Genomic DNA, 17199 nt, shown 5'->3' with positions numbered 1-17199 from the left:
ATCGTGAGAGGGGGACACAATGGAGGAAAGCAGGAGTGCAGCAGTGGGTGAGGGTGCAATGGCAGAGAACCAGAGAGATCCAGAAGGGCCACTGAGACCCCAAGATGATCAGGAGAACCCAAAGGAGCAGTTCTAATAAAGAAGCAGAGAAATGGAAAAAGATAAAGTGTCCTGATTATGCGACAAGTGGTAGTACATAAATACTGATAACAAAGTATAAACCTGTATATATTTCACAGTGAAACTGGAATGGGTGTAATTATGGGATTTAACTACAAATCCCAGTCACTGCTAAATAGGTTTTCATTTATTTTGAGCATATATTTGAATTAAAACATTATGTCAGGCTATGAGTTAAAAGTCAAGTTTTTAGACCTTTATTATTCCAGACAATCTTCTAGAGACTTTTACTAACAAGTTTTCCCATACTTCTTGTTAGTCTTATACACATTTAAGAATTAACTGTTATGTCAAAAGCTTATCAAAACTGATGAACAGCAACAACACCGAAAAAACCAGGTTGGCATCCTTTTTAAATTGTTGATATCCTCTCTACTTAGAATAATTAAAAGCTAATCTTGTTACATTTCAATGAGCGAAGTAACTTTTATTTGCCCAAATTGTTCTCCCTCTTAATCGTAACAACATTAAATTCAAAAGCAACACCTGAACTTTGGTCACCTACTTTAACACATGAAAAAGAATTCAAAGTCAAACTGATCTCTTATATTTTTAACTTTAAAAAAAAAATTAGCTGGGCATGGTGGCACACGCCTGCAGTCCCAGCTACTCAGGAGGCTAAAGCAGGAGAATCACTTCAGCCCAGGAGGCGGAGGTTGCAGTGAGCCGAGATCGCACCACTGCACTTCATCCTGGGTGACAGAGCAAGACTCCGTCTCAAAAAACCAAACCAAACAAAACAATGACTTGTAACTGTAACTGCTGTATCAAATTATTCATTACAGGTATTAATATTATACTTTATTTATACTGTATCTGGAATCCAGATAAAATAGTTGATTTAGCACAGAATTTCATATAATAAAGTTGCACCTAAAAATAAATTCAGGACAGTTTGAAGGATATTTCAACATTGTGGTACTATTGGACATATCTTCCATGTGGCAATATTATTATGTGTCACTATTATTCCATCTTGAAGTTTAAAAATCTTTAGGAAGAATTATAATGATACTTATAGGTACTATTTTTATTTCTGACAAATTCCTGTTACAGTTTCTTTCATAATCTACTGTAACTAATTTATCTGCAGGCTCTTTCCCTTCTACTGTAGTGGAAATCTACTGAAAACAATACCTTTATCATCTCTATTCCTAGAGGAGTTTTTACAAAACTCCTCAATTCCAACAAAAGTAAATAAACTAGTATGGAACTCAAAGTCTCCCAAAACCTGTTTTGTCTCCTAATATATTATTCATATTACATTGTCTTACCCATCAGTAATTTTTATCAGACTGAAGACATGCCTTGCCTTTCTTACCCTTTACTATTCCCTTAATTTTAAATACATTTCCTGTATTTTAAAACAAATGCTATTCTTTACCATTTAGGTCAAGGTCACCCATTCATTAAACATATCAGGCCCTTAACATGTGCTAGGGAAAGTTCCAGATCCTGGAGGCACAATAATGGAAAACACATGCTGTTACCCTCAAAGTGTCCCAGGGTCCAGTGTGAAGCCTTTCCTAATTACTTCTGTTGAAAGCAGATTTCTTTTCGGCTGGGTGCAGTGGCTCATGCCTGTAATCCCAGCACTTTGGGAGGCCGAGGCGGGTGGATCACCTGAGATCAGGAGTTCGAGACCAGCCTGATCAACATGGAAAAACTCCATCTCTACTAAAAATACAAAATAGCTCAGCATGGTGGTGCATGCCTGTAACCCCAGCTACTCGGGAGGCTGAGACAAGAGAATCGCTTGAACCTGGAAAGGCAGAGATTGTGGTGAGCCGAGATCACGCCATTGCACTCCAGCCTGGGCATACAGAGCAAGACTCTGTCTCAAAAAAAAAAAAAAAAAAAAAAGTAGATTTCTTTTCTCAGTGTTTAAAACTCTAAGTTCTTACACTTATAAAAGACAATGTGTGTGTGTGTGTGTGTGTGTGTGTGTGTGTGTGTGTGTGTGTGTGTCATCTATTGCTAAAATTAGAACCTATATAATAGGTACCCCAAATTATTTTCTTGATTGGAATGTTGAACAGAAAAATTAAGAGTGTACATATTCTGATCAAGATAAAATTATCCCTCAGAAAAAGTACTTACAACAGATTTTTAAGGATTAGAATGTGTCTGTTAGTCAGAAATTAGCTATTAGAGTCATAGAGAAGATTAGTGTTTGATAAACAGAATGGAAAAGGCTTGTCAAGCAGCAAAGAGAAAGGGCTGAAGTAAAGAAGAGAAAATTTAAATTAAAAACATAAAGCTTGAACTTTCTTTCTTTCATCTCCAAAGGTGGGAGGAGGAAGTTACAGTTCTTATAGCTAGAGGAAGTTACAGTTCTTATAGCTAAGTAGCTGAAACGCAGCATACTACTTAAAAACAATCTAAGAATACAGACATTTTTAGGGACTCTGAATAAGCAAAGTCACTAACCTCATTAATTCTTCCACTTTATCATCTACATCTAGGTCCTCTTCTGAGGCTTCAAAACTGTATGACCTCTGACCCATGCTGTTTGCATGGTAGCGAGTTGGTGACATCTTTCCATTGGATGTAGATAATCGCTCATTATTCTCCCTCCCATTTTGATTGGTAGTGCAAGGCTGTGGGGAAGTATCATAACTGTTGCTAGGTGACGGGGACATTCCCGAATGCTGCGTCTGTGTGGAAGCTGTAGCTGTAGAGGAAGATGCTGGGACATTGTTAGTACTATTCCCATATGAACTTCCTCCATAGCTGGACCTTCTTCCAAACTTGTCACTATGCTCTTGATCAAGACGGTCCAAAGTTTCCAAGGCATGGAGAATTTCATGTTTAGTCATTCCAGTACGCCGAAGTCGCTGAAGCAGATCTATCTGCTCTATGGTAAATCTGGGTTCATCTGTATAATGAGACATGGTTTCCAGCAAACTAAAAAAAAAGAGATAAAAAGAAGTCTCTTTATTGACAGTATCTACCAAAGCACATATTATACAGAATGCTCAGAAGATGCAATATTTCTACATAAGCTTCTGTATTGAAAATGAAGGTATGTCCCATGCTAGAATGATTGTGCCATGGCAAATGGATTGGTACAGATACTAAATGTATTAGTAGGTGAACATAGGTGTAACATAAAACCTAATTTCATATGGCATACAATTTACATTTTCCTCAATTTTGGTAAATATCAGAACCAAAATTTTAGTTATGTAAATAATACCAGAACAATAGATTAGGTACATGGAGTGCAATAAGCCCAGGCTACGTGATAACTCAGAAGTGTTTTGCCCATCTCAAGTGTATTACTCTACATTAGAGTATTAATGGAAAATTACTGAAAAAAATAGTTTGTATTATATTATTTACCAAATATTAGCTAAACAGACCTAGGAATTCTCTACAACCTCATTTAGTGAGAACAAATGATTTGCTAAGCTAAGTCCAAGCAAATGCTAATAACCAGCAAAAATACTTAAGTGGAAAACAGAGGTACATTAAAAAAAAAAATAAGCACCATTTCATTCACTACTTAGCAATTTCCTAAGTTTTCCATCTCTGGTAATGCATTCTCTCTTAATAGCTACCCTGAGAAATAGATCTTTCATGGTTGTAGCCAAACAATGCTATTCATTTTTCTTAGGAAATTACTTTTACATGTTTCCTTTAACTAGCACAAGATACTACAGCACATCAGAAAATGTTTTCTTAGGGTGAGTAACAATATTAAGGGAGTAGTCAAATACTATAAAAATTCTCACTGCTTGAATCCCTTTGTTGTTGTTGTTGTTGTTGTTTTGGATACAGAGTTTTGCTCTTGTCAACCAGGCTGGAGTGCAGTGGCGCAGTCTTGGCTCACTGCAACCTCCACCTCCTGGGTGCAAGCGATTCTCCTGCCTCAACCTCCTGAGTAGCTGGGATTACAGGCACCTGCCACCAAGCCTGGCTACTTTTATATTTTTAGTAGAGATGGGGTTTCAACATGTTGGCCAGGCTGATCTCAAACTCCTGACCTCAGGTGATTCGCCCGCCTCGGCCTCCCAAAGTGCTGGGATTACAGGTGTGAGCCACCATGCTCGGCCTTGAATTCCTTTCTTATAAGACCTGAGTTTTCCATTCAAGATTTTTTAAAGTTGTAATCTCTTCTATTTTGATATTTATTGTTCTAGTGCCAAATATAATGCATGGCATGCAGTAGGCTCTCAATAAGTGTTTGCAGATGGAAACAGATGTCAAGAAATTTCTTCATCTTTCTCAAACAAACATCTGCTCTGGGCCAGTGTCCTATAGCTATTGAAGGTCTCACTGTTTCTTTGTCCTTCTACATGAAAACTTTATTAACAGTCACTTCTAGGCAGGAACTGGGTACGAATTTCACATAACATAATCTCATCCAATTCTCACAGCAACTCCCCATGGTAGATGTTCTTTATTCATTTCATTTTATGTTGATGGATTGATTGTTGAGGAAACTAAAGCTCAGTGTAGTTTTGTACTTCACAAAAAATCTGAGTAAACAGTAGGAAAAAGATTTAAGCCTAGATCTTATTGACTCCAAAAGCACACATCATTCTCCTTTACAATACATTGCAGGACTTAACTGGAAACATATGATTTGGCACACAGGCTATTCTACTCCTTTAAGTCTCATTTAAAGCCATTTAGATAAAACTATTCTAATTACTGATGAACCTAGGGGTCCTAGTAATAGTTTTCTACATTTAAAATCCTTGCTCCATCTAGAATTTTTATTGACTTAACAAGTATAAAAAATTGGGGCTTTATTTCATCCCAAATGGACAGCTAGATGTCGTATGTTTTTACTGAATATCTGTCTTCTCCTCCGATGTGAAATGCTGCCTTTATCATATACACAATTTCCATATGAATCTGCATTACCTTTGGATAGTCTATTCCATTTCACTGATTGTTTTATCTTTCAAATCCTTTTAAAAATAAGTAGGGAAAAATCTAGAACTGTAGATGAAATCTTCCTGGTTTTTAAAACAAGCTCATAAAAATAAAACAAAACCAAACACACACATTCTGTGGACCTAAACATGTTGCAGGCCATTTGTGCCCATGGGCCACAGTATCTGCTCTACACCTACAAATGTTAGGGTCTGATTTCTTCCAATACTCACTTGTAACAAGTTAGCCATGATTTTAAAAAGACCTATTTTCATGATTATTATATTCTTTCTTGATGGCCTAAGTTCCCCCACAATATTTTGTAATGAAAAAAATTAAACATAAACATTATTATTTTCCCTTGAAAATGAAGTAGACCTGTTTGTTGCTATTTTCAGTCTTCATGTTATCAAAGTATTTCATAAAGTGATCTTACTTTAGATGACTTCAATAACTGTTTTATTATATGGACAAAAATCCCCAATCATAGTATTTTCCTATAGTATTCATATCAGAGCAGTTAGTTATCTATATACAGTTCTTCAAACCATTCCTTGTATGGAGCAGCACTCTGTATTAGCATAAAGCAAAAGTAAATTGTATGAATTTCACTTATTACTGAAAAGTATCCATCCTAACACTTGAATTAGAATTGTCAAAACTAAAGATTTCACAGCATATGAAACAATCTAATATTTTGTGTCATTTCAGATTCATTGACTATTAGAACCACTTTTATTCCAAGTCATAAAAGGAGAAACAATAGGCCACCTATTTACTTTGTCTGCTTAGAACACCTCATTCTTTCCAAGCACATGTTCTTGGGCTATCACTCGTAATACCCCACCTTCTGGCCAGTGGGGTGAGCACAGAAGAAAGCCAAACCTTGCTCTCCCCATAATTTTCTAGTCAGACGAGGGGAAAGATGAACAGTCACCATAACTGTGTTCAGTTGCAGGAAGATATTAGTCTGGTAAATTCCTCATTATATGGAAGCAGCTAGTTCATGGGAGGAAGAAGCAGACATACCAAGAAACGTGGAACAGAGCGATGGAGAAAGCTCTGCAGCACTCACATCCCTTGTTCCAATAATCCCTAAGCCCCTGATATATCCCTGCTCTTCTTGCTGTTTTGTTTCATCAGAGAATACATTTCCCTTTATGTATCACCTTGTTCAAATTAGATGTCTGTGCCCTGCACTGAGAGTTTCCTAATGCAAATATAACCTAAAGCAAAATGATCCACAATTGCTAGAATGATCATTCATATGATCACTACAAAGCAAAGTGATTAAGAGCATAACAAACAGGATCAAAGCATGCATGTGACACTGAAGATACAATATTTTACTGAGAAAACGCTGAGTCTAGAAGCTCTCCTGGATATTGAGAATAATGTTCCAATGTGTATTAATATAAACAAAGGCATATACTCCGGCATTTCACAATTTTATTTCTCATAATTTACCTAGTTTAAGCATATAATCACGAATTTATGGCAGTAAATGACCTACAAAGGTCATCTAAGTCCATGATACCAGCAATTCTTTTATAACAGAAAAAGATAACATGTAAGAATTGAATTAATTTTCTTATGCACAAGGATTGTTCAGAGGATAAGGAACATCTTTCACTTTAAATTACTAATCTGAATGCAGACTCAGGCCAACAATAATTGAAAATGATGTGAGAAGAATTTCACCACTGTAATAACAGACAGTGTTTAAGGCATAAAAGAACAATTAAATTCAGGAATTATGGCTCAGTTCATAAACTGATATTCTAAGAAAATATCATACCATAAGACCATAATAATAACTTTTCACAATACATTTTATCCTGACTTGAATATGTACCTAAACCCTTCTTGGATAAGGCATGAGGTCTAGAATATACTTTCATAAGCTAAATTCTACAAACATGTAGAGCAAAGAAGATTAAAGCATTCACAAATAATTAATCTTGAAATCACAGAGGTAAAAAGGACATTACTATCTTACTTGTAAAGCACCAACAGTAAAATTTTATTGGATAACAGCTTTTTCTTCAGCTCAATTCTGCTGTCTTTATTTTTATTATCTAGAATGACTAGGCAAAATAGGTTAGTTTTGTTTTGCATACATGATATTTACTGCATGCTAATTTAACACACTCTAGGGTCAATCACAATATTTTTATCAGAGAGAGAACTCTCCATCCTCTCAGGAATGTCACCTCATGTCAAACTGCATATGTGAGTTACTGTCACAACTACTGGACTTCAAAATACATATACACTCAAGAGCTTAACAGACACTTTGGGAGCTTAGGCTGTGGCAGGGCTACTCTCTGTCAGCAGCTTCTCCAAAACCAGAGAGCTCAGGCTGCAACAGGCCTCAAAGCTTTTATACCTTGCAGGCCAGCATTTTCTAGCACTGAGGGGCCTTCCTTGTGGTCTCAGATCTCAGCTATGGTGGTCAAGCCAGCCTCTCCCAAGAACTGCTCATGTAAAGGTACACCTCCACCTTTAGCCTTCACTTGAACACAGAGGCCTCCTTTCATCATAATTGAGCAAAGACACTTTAATAGCTTTGGAACACATTCATAATGTGGTTAATGTACCTCATCTATTGAGTGTATTCCCTGTGAAGTCTGTCTATGTTACTCTCCCCATCTTTAAGTACTGTGAACCCAAGAAAAAATTCTCTTTGTATGGCAATAAACACTGTGATTCATGAAATCATACTTTGATCATCTTATTTCTACCATATGTGACAAAAATCCAAGTACAAACATGCACATTTATAAAGGGAGATATAAGTTAGGTGTGGAATGAGAAAACTGGAGATCACTTAGACAAAAATCATTCATTTAAGTAACATTTATTGAATGCCTACTATGTAACAGATCCTGTGCAAGGCACAGAGGACACAACAAGGAACAAATCAGGCAAAAATTCATGGCTTCATGATGCTTACATTCATTTCAGTAACTATTAGACATCTTACTATTTTCAATAGCCATTAGACGTCTTAACTCTCCTGAATGCTTAGCCATCTATCTCAGAAACTTCTAGGCTTTGAGCAGTTAAAAATAATAAGTAATTTTATATTCAATTTAAAATTAATGTCAAAATTCAAAGTTGAAAATAGAAATGGTAACAGAGAAGGCTGATAGATTGAAAATAGCCATTAGCAAATAAATTTTTTTAAAAAGTGGGGAGGGAAACTAAGGCCCAAAGAGGTGAAGTGCCTTCCCAAGGATATAGCTACTTAGCAGAAAGTCGGGCTACAGTTCACATCTTCTAGGTCTGTTCCAGAAACTTTTCACTATATCATAGAATCTACTGGGGTGGGGGTGGGGGAACTATAATGAAAAGCCTAAATAATAAGGAAAATCTCTCTTAATGTTTACTTACTGTATTATAGAACTGTCAACCAAAACGGAAGGAATTTAAGCAAAGTGGAGACTCCATCAAATTTTAGAAAATACTTATGCTAAAGGCACTCTGCATTCGACTCTAAAGATGCACTTAATGAGCTAATAGATACTCTGTCTTCTCTAATATCTGAAATTCCCGGAATACTTTTATTCAAAGGCCTATTTAATATGAACTGGTGGTTATAGTTCATATCCTAGCACAAAAACACTCTCAACACAATACCACTATCTCAATTTGTATTTTCTGCCTGACTCCAAAGAAAGGCTAGCACATCAGCTAATAGGCTTAACTACATCATCATGCCCCCAGCAGGTAAAGGAAAATGGTTAAGGTGCTAGGAGTTTTTACACAAAAGGCAACATGAAGATGTATGCTTCCAGTAGTCTGCTTGTCACAAGGAATCTAATATTAGCTCTCTTGAACTGTTAGTCATCTATCTTGGATGCTTCTAAGCTTTAAGCAGTTAAAAATAATAATTAATTTTATATTCAATTTAAAATTAATGTTAAAATTCAAAGTTGAAAACAGAAATGGTAAGAGAAGGCTGATAGATTTAAAAATTCATTTCTCACCACATGATCATGACACTTATTCACCTTAATGTCAAATAGGTATAACATTTGATTCATTTTCTAAAAAAGCTTTTCAACTCTACAAACGTCTGTTGTCAAATCTGGATCATAATCATAGTGACATCTTAACTTTACTAAAATGATTGTGAAGATAAAAATCAAAAAGGACTTGATACTTACACCACTGGAAAGGAACTAAGCATACTTTACATGAGGCGGATCAATATCCTTTCCAGAGATGATCTGCGTTATCTACCATTCTGTAGAACAAAGATAGAAAATTGAGAAACATTTATGTTAATCAAGTGCTGAATAAAAATTTTAATTATGTAACTGATGGACAGCAAGAGTTAACACTAGCTAATCATGTTAAATATTATATCTTCTGATTTGCATTCTACTGCTTTATTCACCATACACTTTGATCCCTTTCAATTCAGACACAGATCTTAACAAAAAATGGTATCTACTATTCATTGTTTAGAAGCTAAAGATCATGAAGACAACTTATTAGCTGGTTAAAACCATAGTTATAGAGGCACTGATTTCCATTAACTCTAAGATTATAAATTAGACAAAAGTTAAAAATGTTGATGTCAAAAACTCTCACATTGAAATACATATTCAGTACTGAATTATATTAAGCATGGCCAAAGTGTCCAACAATGACTAATGATATATGCAAAATGTACAAGGTAAAGTTAGAAACCTTTCATATTTGTATATTCTAAACTGTAGCACTAATGAAGTTCCTGTTGTAGATAATTTTCTTGTTGACTTAAAAACAGGCCAGGCGTGGTGGCTCATGCCTGTAATCCCAGCACTTTAGGAGGCTGAGGCGGGTGGATCACCTGAAGTCAGGAGTTCGAGACCAGCCTGACCAACATGGCGAAACCCCAACTGTACTAAAAATACAAAATTAGCCGGGGGTGGTGGCACATGCCTGTAATCCCAGCTACTTGGGAAACTGAGGCAGAAGAATCACTTGAACCTGGGAGGCGGCGGTTGCAGTGAACCGAGATCGCACCATCACACTCTAGCCTGGGCCACAAACACATTTTTCACTACCTGCTCAAATTCAGTTAAAATATATGAGGCACCTGCTTGCCCTGGCATAGACACAAGAACTAAATATGAGTAAGATATGGTCCCAACAGTAGAGGAGCTTAGGAGTTCATTAAATGGCGGGAGGTGGGGAGAATAGAGACTAGGGACAAAAATTATAGACACACCCCTCTCAAATAAAAAATATAATACAAAAAAAAAGACCAAAAATACAACGTTTATATGAGTAACAATCCAGAAACTAATTCAGGTTAGAGAGAACTAGGAAGATTTCTTAGAGTGAAATCTGGCTGTTATTTGAGGATTAGAATAAGACTTCCACAACATCAAGGTGTAGAGGGAGGTGAGAATCAGTGGAGGAAAGATTCCAGGAAGAGGGAACAGTGAAAAGAAATTATGAGATTTATTTAGGGAATTAGTAGGCTTGTGTTGCTGGCCTTTAACACAGTATGTGTGAGGAGTAGATGATCTAGAAGGGGATCCTGACCTTTATTCTGTAATCATGAGAACCATGCAGCACGTTTACATGTAGCATGTTTAGCATGTAGCATGCACCATGAATACAGAAAAAAGGTCAGGCTCCCCTTCTAGAGGGGATCCTTTGACAACTTCCATGCTAGGAAGTTATCATCAAAGACCCTCATTTCACAGACAGGAAAACAGATTAAGTCACTGATACAAATTTATGTAACCATAAGACACTGAATTATGTCAGTTATATTTCAGACATAAATGGGCTTAAAATATTCTACAAAAAAAGGAATGTTCTAAAAACAGAAGACCAAGCAAACAAGATGTTATGAATTCTCTCAATTTCATAAAGCTCTTCTGGCAGAGGAGACAGATTATTTTTTTCTAATTGACAGATGTTTTCAAGTTATTTTAAAAACAGATCAGGAACTAAATAAAAATGGGTATTAAGATCACATCCACACTGAGTGCAATGGCTCACACCTGTAATCCCAGCTACTTAGGAGGTTGAGGCAGGAGGATTACTTGAGGCCAGGAGTTCAAGGCTAGTTTGGGCAACACGTTCAAGGCTAGTTTGGGCAACATGATGAGTCCCTGTCTCAAAAAAAAAAAAAGAAAAAAGAAAAAAAAAAAAAAAAAATAAAATGACACCCATTCGAATGCCTATTATTTATAAAAATAAACATAAAATAACAAGTGTGGCAATAATGTGGAGAAAATGGAATCCTTGTATATTGCTGGCTGAAATGCAAAATGGTGAAGCCACTATGGAAAACAGTATGGCAGTTCCTCAAAAAACTAAATACAGAATTACCATATGATCCAGCGATTCCACTTTTGGATATCTATCCAAAAGAAGTGGAATCAGGCTGTGTTCACAGCAGCATTATTCACAAAAGCCAAATGTGGGAATAACCCAAATGTCCACTGGCAGATAAATGGATAAATGAAATGTGATATATATACAAACAGAATATTGTCCCAGCCTTTAAAAGGAAGGAAACTCTGACACAAAAACATGAATGAAACTTGAAGACATGATGCTAAGCGAAACAACCCAATCACAAAAGGTCAAATATTATATGATTCCATTTACATGAGGTACCTAGAGTAGTCAAATTCACAGAGACAGAAAGTAGCATGGTGGGTAAAATGGGCAAGGAATAATGAGAAGTTATTATTTAAGGGTACAGAGTTTCAATCTGTGAGGATGAAAATGTTCTGGAAATGGATGGTGGTGACTGCTGTATACTGTATGTATTTAATGCCACTGAACTATATACGTTAAAATGGTAGATTTTATGTTATGCATATTTCAACACAATAAAAAAGTAGAACATTATAATAAAAACTTTATATTAAAAGGCATTAGGGATATAAATTTATGGATGCTGGATCACATTCAAGCACCTGGCCATAGAAAACAAGCAACCTATAAAAGAAAAAGAGAGGCTGGGCCTGGTGGCTCATGCCTGTAATCCCAGCACTTTGGGAGGCCAAGGCAGACAGATCATGAGGTCAAGAGATCGAGACCATCCTGGCCAACATGGTGAAACCCCGTCTCTACCAAAAACACAAAAATTAGTTGGGCATGGTGGCATGCACCTGTAGTCCCAGCTGCTCAGGAGTCTGAGGCAGGAGAATCGCTTGAATCCGGGAGGCAGAGGTTGCAGTGAGCCAAGATCACACCACTGCACTCCAGCCTGGCGACAGAGCAAGACTCCGTCTCCAAAAAAAAAAAAAAAAAAAAAAAAAAAAAAAAAAAAAAAGAAAAAGAAAAAGAAAAAGAGAATAAGTTTACAATTATAAAATATACAGTTTATGACCAAGATATAAGAGTTACAAACACAAAGACCAAATAACATGAGAGGTAATAAAGCAAAAATCATAACTACTTTAATAATTTTTTTTTAAAGTATAAACATGAGTTATTTCAGTATACCTTTTAGAATGAACAAATATAGTTGGAGAAAATTTAAAAAACAGAAATTTGATATATTATCAATAAACATAATTTTAAAGATAAAAAGATACTTTGTAAACCTTCTAACAAAGAAGTTTTTTTTTCCCTATGTCCATTACCATAATTGATCACAAACACGGTAAAACAAAAGGTTTAATTTCATATATATAATCCAAACAATCTAGGGAAAAATGTACAAAAATAACTACTTATAAACTACAAGATAATCATAAATAACCCTTGGATCAAAGAAGAAACCACAAAAGAAATTATGACCAACATAACAATACACTGTGACAAAAAAGAGGATTGTTCTTCATAACAAAAATCCAGGCCAGGCACGGTGGCTCATTTTTAAAAGTCAAAAGAAAAAATAGTACTTAAAAAATAGAAAAATAAAATACTGTACACCAAAATAAGCTAGAAAAATGGAACTAAGAAATAATATTTGAAATTAATATAAAATGAAGCTACAGAAGGCATAAGTAAGTCCAAATGTTGGCTCTTTGAAAGACTATTAAATAATTACACAGAAAGTCTAATAAAGAGAAAAGAGAGAAAAAAACTGGTAAGATTCAGAAGGAAAAGAAAAATACAGCCATAGTATTGGGGGAAAAAAACCCTAAGAAATTATAAATGCAACTGCATGACAATTCATTTAAAAACCTAAAAGAGAAAAACGATTTCCCAGTAAAACAGAATATATCAAAATTGACCAAAAAATAAACTCTTTAGTCAAACCAAATAGAGTAAAATAAAGGTAATTAAGAATCTATAGAAAGAGGCATCAAAATCAGCTGAGTTCTCAGCAGACTTAATCTATTTAAAAAACATAATTCTAATAATACTAAACTATAGAAAAATACAGGAAATGTTCCAATCCATTTTATGCAGCCAGAATTATTCAACAGCAAACCTAATAAAGGTAGTATACAGAACATACCATTTCACTTAAAAATTAAATGTAAAAGATCTAAGTAAAAACTCACATTAGACTATAGAGTGTAGGACATATGAGAAATAATACAGTAGTCCCCCACTTTATCTGCTGTTTTACTTTGGCTTTCTGTGGTTTCAGTAACCTGCAGTAACCATGGTCCGAGAATATTACGTGGAAAATTCCAGAAATAAACAATTCATAAGTTTTAAAATGTGAGCCACTCTTAGTAACTTAGAAACCTCATGCTCCTCCTTCAGGGCATCCACACTGTAGACCCTACCTGACCCTTACTCACTCACTAGCTGTCTAGCTTATCACACTGACTGTCCTGGTATCTAACAGTGCCCCTGTTTAAGTAATACTTATTCTACAGAATGATGGCCCCAAAGCTCAAGAATAATGATGCTGGCAATTTCAATACACCAAACAGAAGCCAAAAGTGCTTCCGTTCAGTGAAAAGGTGAAAGCTCTCAACTTAAGTTAAAAAAAAAAAATCATATGCTGAGATTACTAAGATCTATAAGAAGAATGAATCTTCTGTGAAACTGTGAAGAAGGAAAATGAAATCTGTGCATAGTATACACAGAGTCTGATACTATCTGCAGTTTCAGGCATCTACTGGGAGTCTTAGAATGTATTCCCGGTGGATAAGGGGGGTCCATTGTATACCACTATAATTTACGCAGAAATGCAAGAGTGGTCCATCTTTAGGAAATCAACATAATCCAATATATCAACCAATTTAAGGCAGAGAAATTACATGATTATATCAATAGATGTTGAAAAGGCATTCAGTAAAACTTAGCCATTTTAAACAAAAAACTATGGAAAAGAAGACTAGAGAAAAAAACACTCTGGTAAAAACATAAGAAGGGCAAATATTATTCTAAACAGCAAAACACTAAAAGCATTTCAAATAAAATTAAGATTGCATGCACACACAATAAATATATATAGAGAGAGTATCTATGTGTGTAATTTCACTTTTATATGCATAAAATAATCTGTGGAAGAGATCCAATAACAGTGGTTACTTTGAATGCAGGGTTAGGAACTACAGAGATTACGGAGAGGAATGGGAAGGAAGCTGTTCATAGGAAGCTTTTTTAAAAAATTATTTTAACCATGTGAATGTTATTACCTATACAATAAATCAAACGAATAAAATTAGGAATTAGAGTGAGAAGCCCACTAAATCCTTTATAAGTAAACACTGACTTAAAGTTTACAGGAAAAATGGTAAGACAGAAAAGAATTAACTGGCAAAAATATTGGAATAAAAGAGAAAAATATCTTTTTGTCAATGATTTGGCAATACAATGTCTAGAAAACTCAAGCAATTATATTTTTAAAAAACTGAAAATTAGCTGTCTGCAGTGGCTCACGTTTGTAATCCCAGCGGCTCAGGACACTGAGGCAAGAAGATTGCTTGAGGCCAGGAGTTCAAGACTATCCTGGGCAATATAGCAAAACCTCGGTATCTTTCAAAACAAAATAAAACCAAACCCTGAAATAAAAGAAATTATTAAATTGAGATATGATACAATACTTTTAAAATTAAGTTTCTCTAATTGAGCAGGAAACATCTAGAAAAAGAATGGGAAAGAGATTTTCATTGACAGGGATAGCCTTTCCCAATATTTATGAATAACTATATTGAGAAAGAAGCCAAAAAGGTTTTCCTTTCAATTTAAAAATAGGACCTAGGCTGGGCGTGGTGGCATGAACCACCTGTAATACCAGCACTTCGACAGGCTGAGGCGGGCGAACCACTTGAGGTCAAGAGCTCGAGACCAGCCTGGCCAACATGGTGAAACCTCGTCTATACTAAAAATACAAAAATTAGCTGGGCATGGTGGCACACACCTATAATCCCAGCTACTCAGAAGGCTGAGGCAGGCGAATCGCCTGAACCCAGGAGGCTGGGGCTACAGTGAGCCGAGATCGTACCACTGCACTCCAGCCTGGGCGGCAGAGCAAGACGCTATCTCAAAAAATAATAACAATAGTAAAAATAAATAAATAAAAATAGGACCTAATAGAGCAGAAAGGCTTTGTTTTTCAACTTTTATTTTAGACTCAAGGGGTACATGTGCAGGTTTGTTACAAGGGTATATTGCATGATGCTGAGATTTGGGGTACAACTGAACCCATCACTCAGGTAGTGGGCATAGTACCCAACAGTTATTTTTTCAACCTTTGCCCCGATTTCCTCCTTCCCCACTCCTGGAGTCTCCAGTGTCTACTGCTCTCATCTTTATGTGCACGTGTACCCAAAGTTTAGCACCCACTTATAAGTGAGAACATGCAGTATTTAATTTTGTTTCTGCATTAATTCACATAGGATAATGGAGTCCAGCTGTACCCACATTGCTGCAAAGGACATGATTTTGTTCTTTTTTTATGGGTAGCATTCCATGGCATAAATGTACATTTTCTTTATCCGTTCCACTGTTGATAGGGACCTACGCTGATTGCATGTCTTTGCTATTGTGTATAGTGCTGCAATGAACACATGGGTGCATGTGTCTTTTTGGTAGAACAATATATTTTCCTTTGGGTTTATACCCTCCACGCCCAGGCCATTGTTGGTTCTTTGAGGACTCTCCAAATTGCTTTCTACAGTGGCCTTGCCAACGTCTGTTGTTTTTTGACTTTAATAATGGCCATTCTGACTGGTGTGAGATGGTATCTCACTGTGGTTTTGATTTGCATTTCACTGATGATTAATGATAAGCATTTTTTCATGTTTGCTGGCTGCTTGTAAGTCTTCTTTTGAGAAGTGTCTGCTCATGTCTTTTGTCCACTTTTTAATGGGGTTAGAGCAGACAGTTTAAGAACTACTAAGAAAATTGTGCAAAAGAAGAAAACCAAAAGTGGACTTCTCTGACCAGATAATCAGAAATACATTCAAAAGCCACTGTAATGAAATCAATATGGCACTGGCATAGAAACGCACACACAAATGAGCAGGACAGAATAAAGATCTTAATTATAGATTACAGCACATATGGCACAATGTGCTATCAAAGGTTACATTTTAATTCAGCAGGAAAGAATACATATTTTTTAAAATTATAATAAAAAAACTGGTTATCATCTAGCAAAAAAAACAATTGCATTTTTATCTTACATTATATGTAAAAAATAAGTATCAGGCAGAATAAAGACAAATGTAAAAAATAAATCATAGTAATACATCTACAACAAAATTTAGAAGATGACAGGTCTTGTAGATATGCTTAACAAAGACCAGAAACTTCAAAAGATAAACAAAACGTTAAAAATTTCCTATTATGAAGAAAAAAAAAACTTAAGCAGTTAAACTGGAAAAAACATGACATGTAGAGAAAGAGCAGATCCAAGTTATCAAGTTTATTCAAAAAATACTCAAATGCACTAGAAGTCAAGGAAATAACAGTTTAACAATGAGATATCACTTCAGTAAAAATTTAACAGACATATCTTCAATCATACTACCATATTTCATTGGTCTAAATGTGATTATGACATCATTTGGAAAGAAATATAGTGATATATATTAAAATTTAAAGAGCTTACACCTTTAATTTAGCAATCCTACTCCTGAGAATCAATTCTACAGAAATAAAAGTAACCATACATAAGGAAATATATACAAGAACGTCCTACTTTCCAATTTTTTTTTTTTTTTTTTTCCTAGACAGAGTCTCACTCTGTCG

At 35.5% G+C, this 17199-nt stretch overlaps 1 protein-coding gene across 35 annotated transcripts in view; it reads right to left on the bottom strand.

Annotated features, from left to right (window-relative positions):
• HMBOX1 (homeobox containing 1) overlaps positions 1-17199 on the bottom strand; it is a 163155-nt gene that overhangs the window by 80141 nt on the left and 65815 nt on the right. For all 35 annotated transcript variants that reach the window (NR_136758.2, NR_136757.2, XR_001745595.2 and 32 more), the window contains 2 exons: positions 9240-9319; positions 2611-3087 (listed from right to left, as the gene is read on the bottom strand). Coding sequence is in view for 32 of the 35 variants with exons in the window: in XM_047422223.1 (XP_047278179.1) it covers positions 2611-3087; positions 9240-9262 (500 nt within the window). In the remaining 3 variants the exon portion in view is untranslated. The remainder of the gene's footprint in view (positions 1-2610; positions 3088-9239; positions 9320-17199) is intronic.

This window comes from Homo sapiens, chromosome 8, assembly GCF_000001405.40.
Source record: "Homo sapiens chromosome 8, GRCh38.p14 Primary Assembly".
NCBI classification, from domain to species: Eukaryota; Metazoa; Chordata; class Mammalia; order Primates; family Hominidae; genus Homo; species Homo sapiens.
Note: the sequence above shows the minus strand (reverse complement) of the source record. Positions and strands in the feature narration are given on the sequence as shown.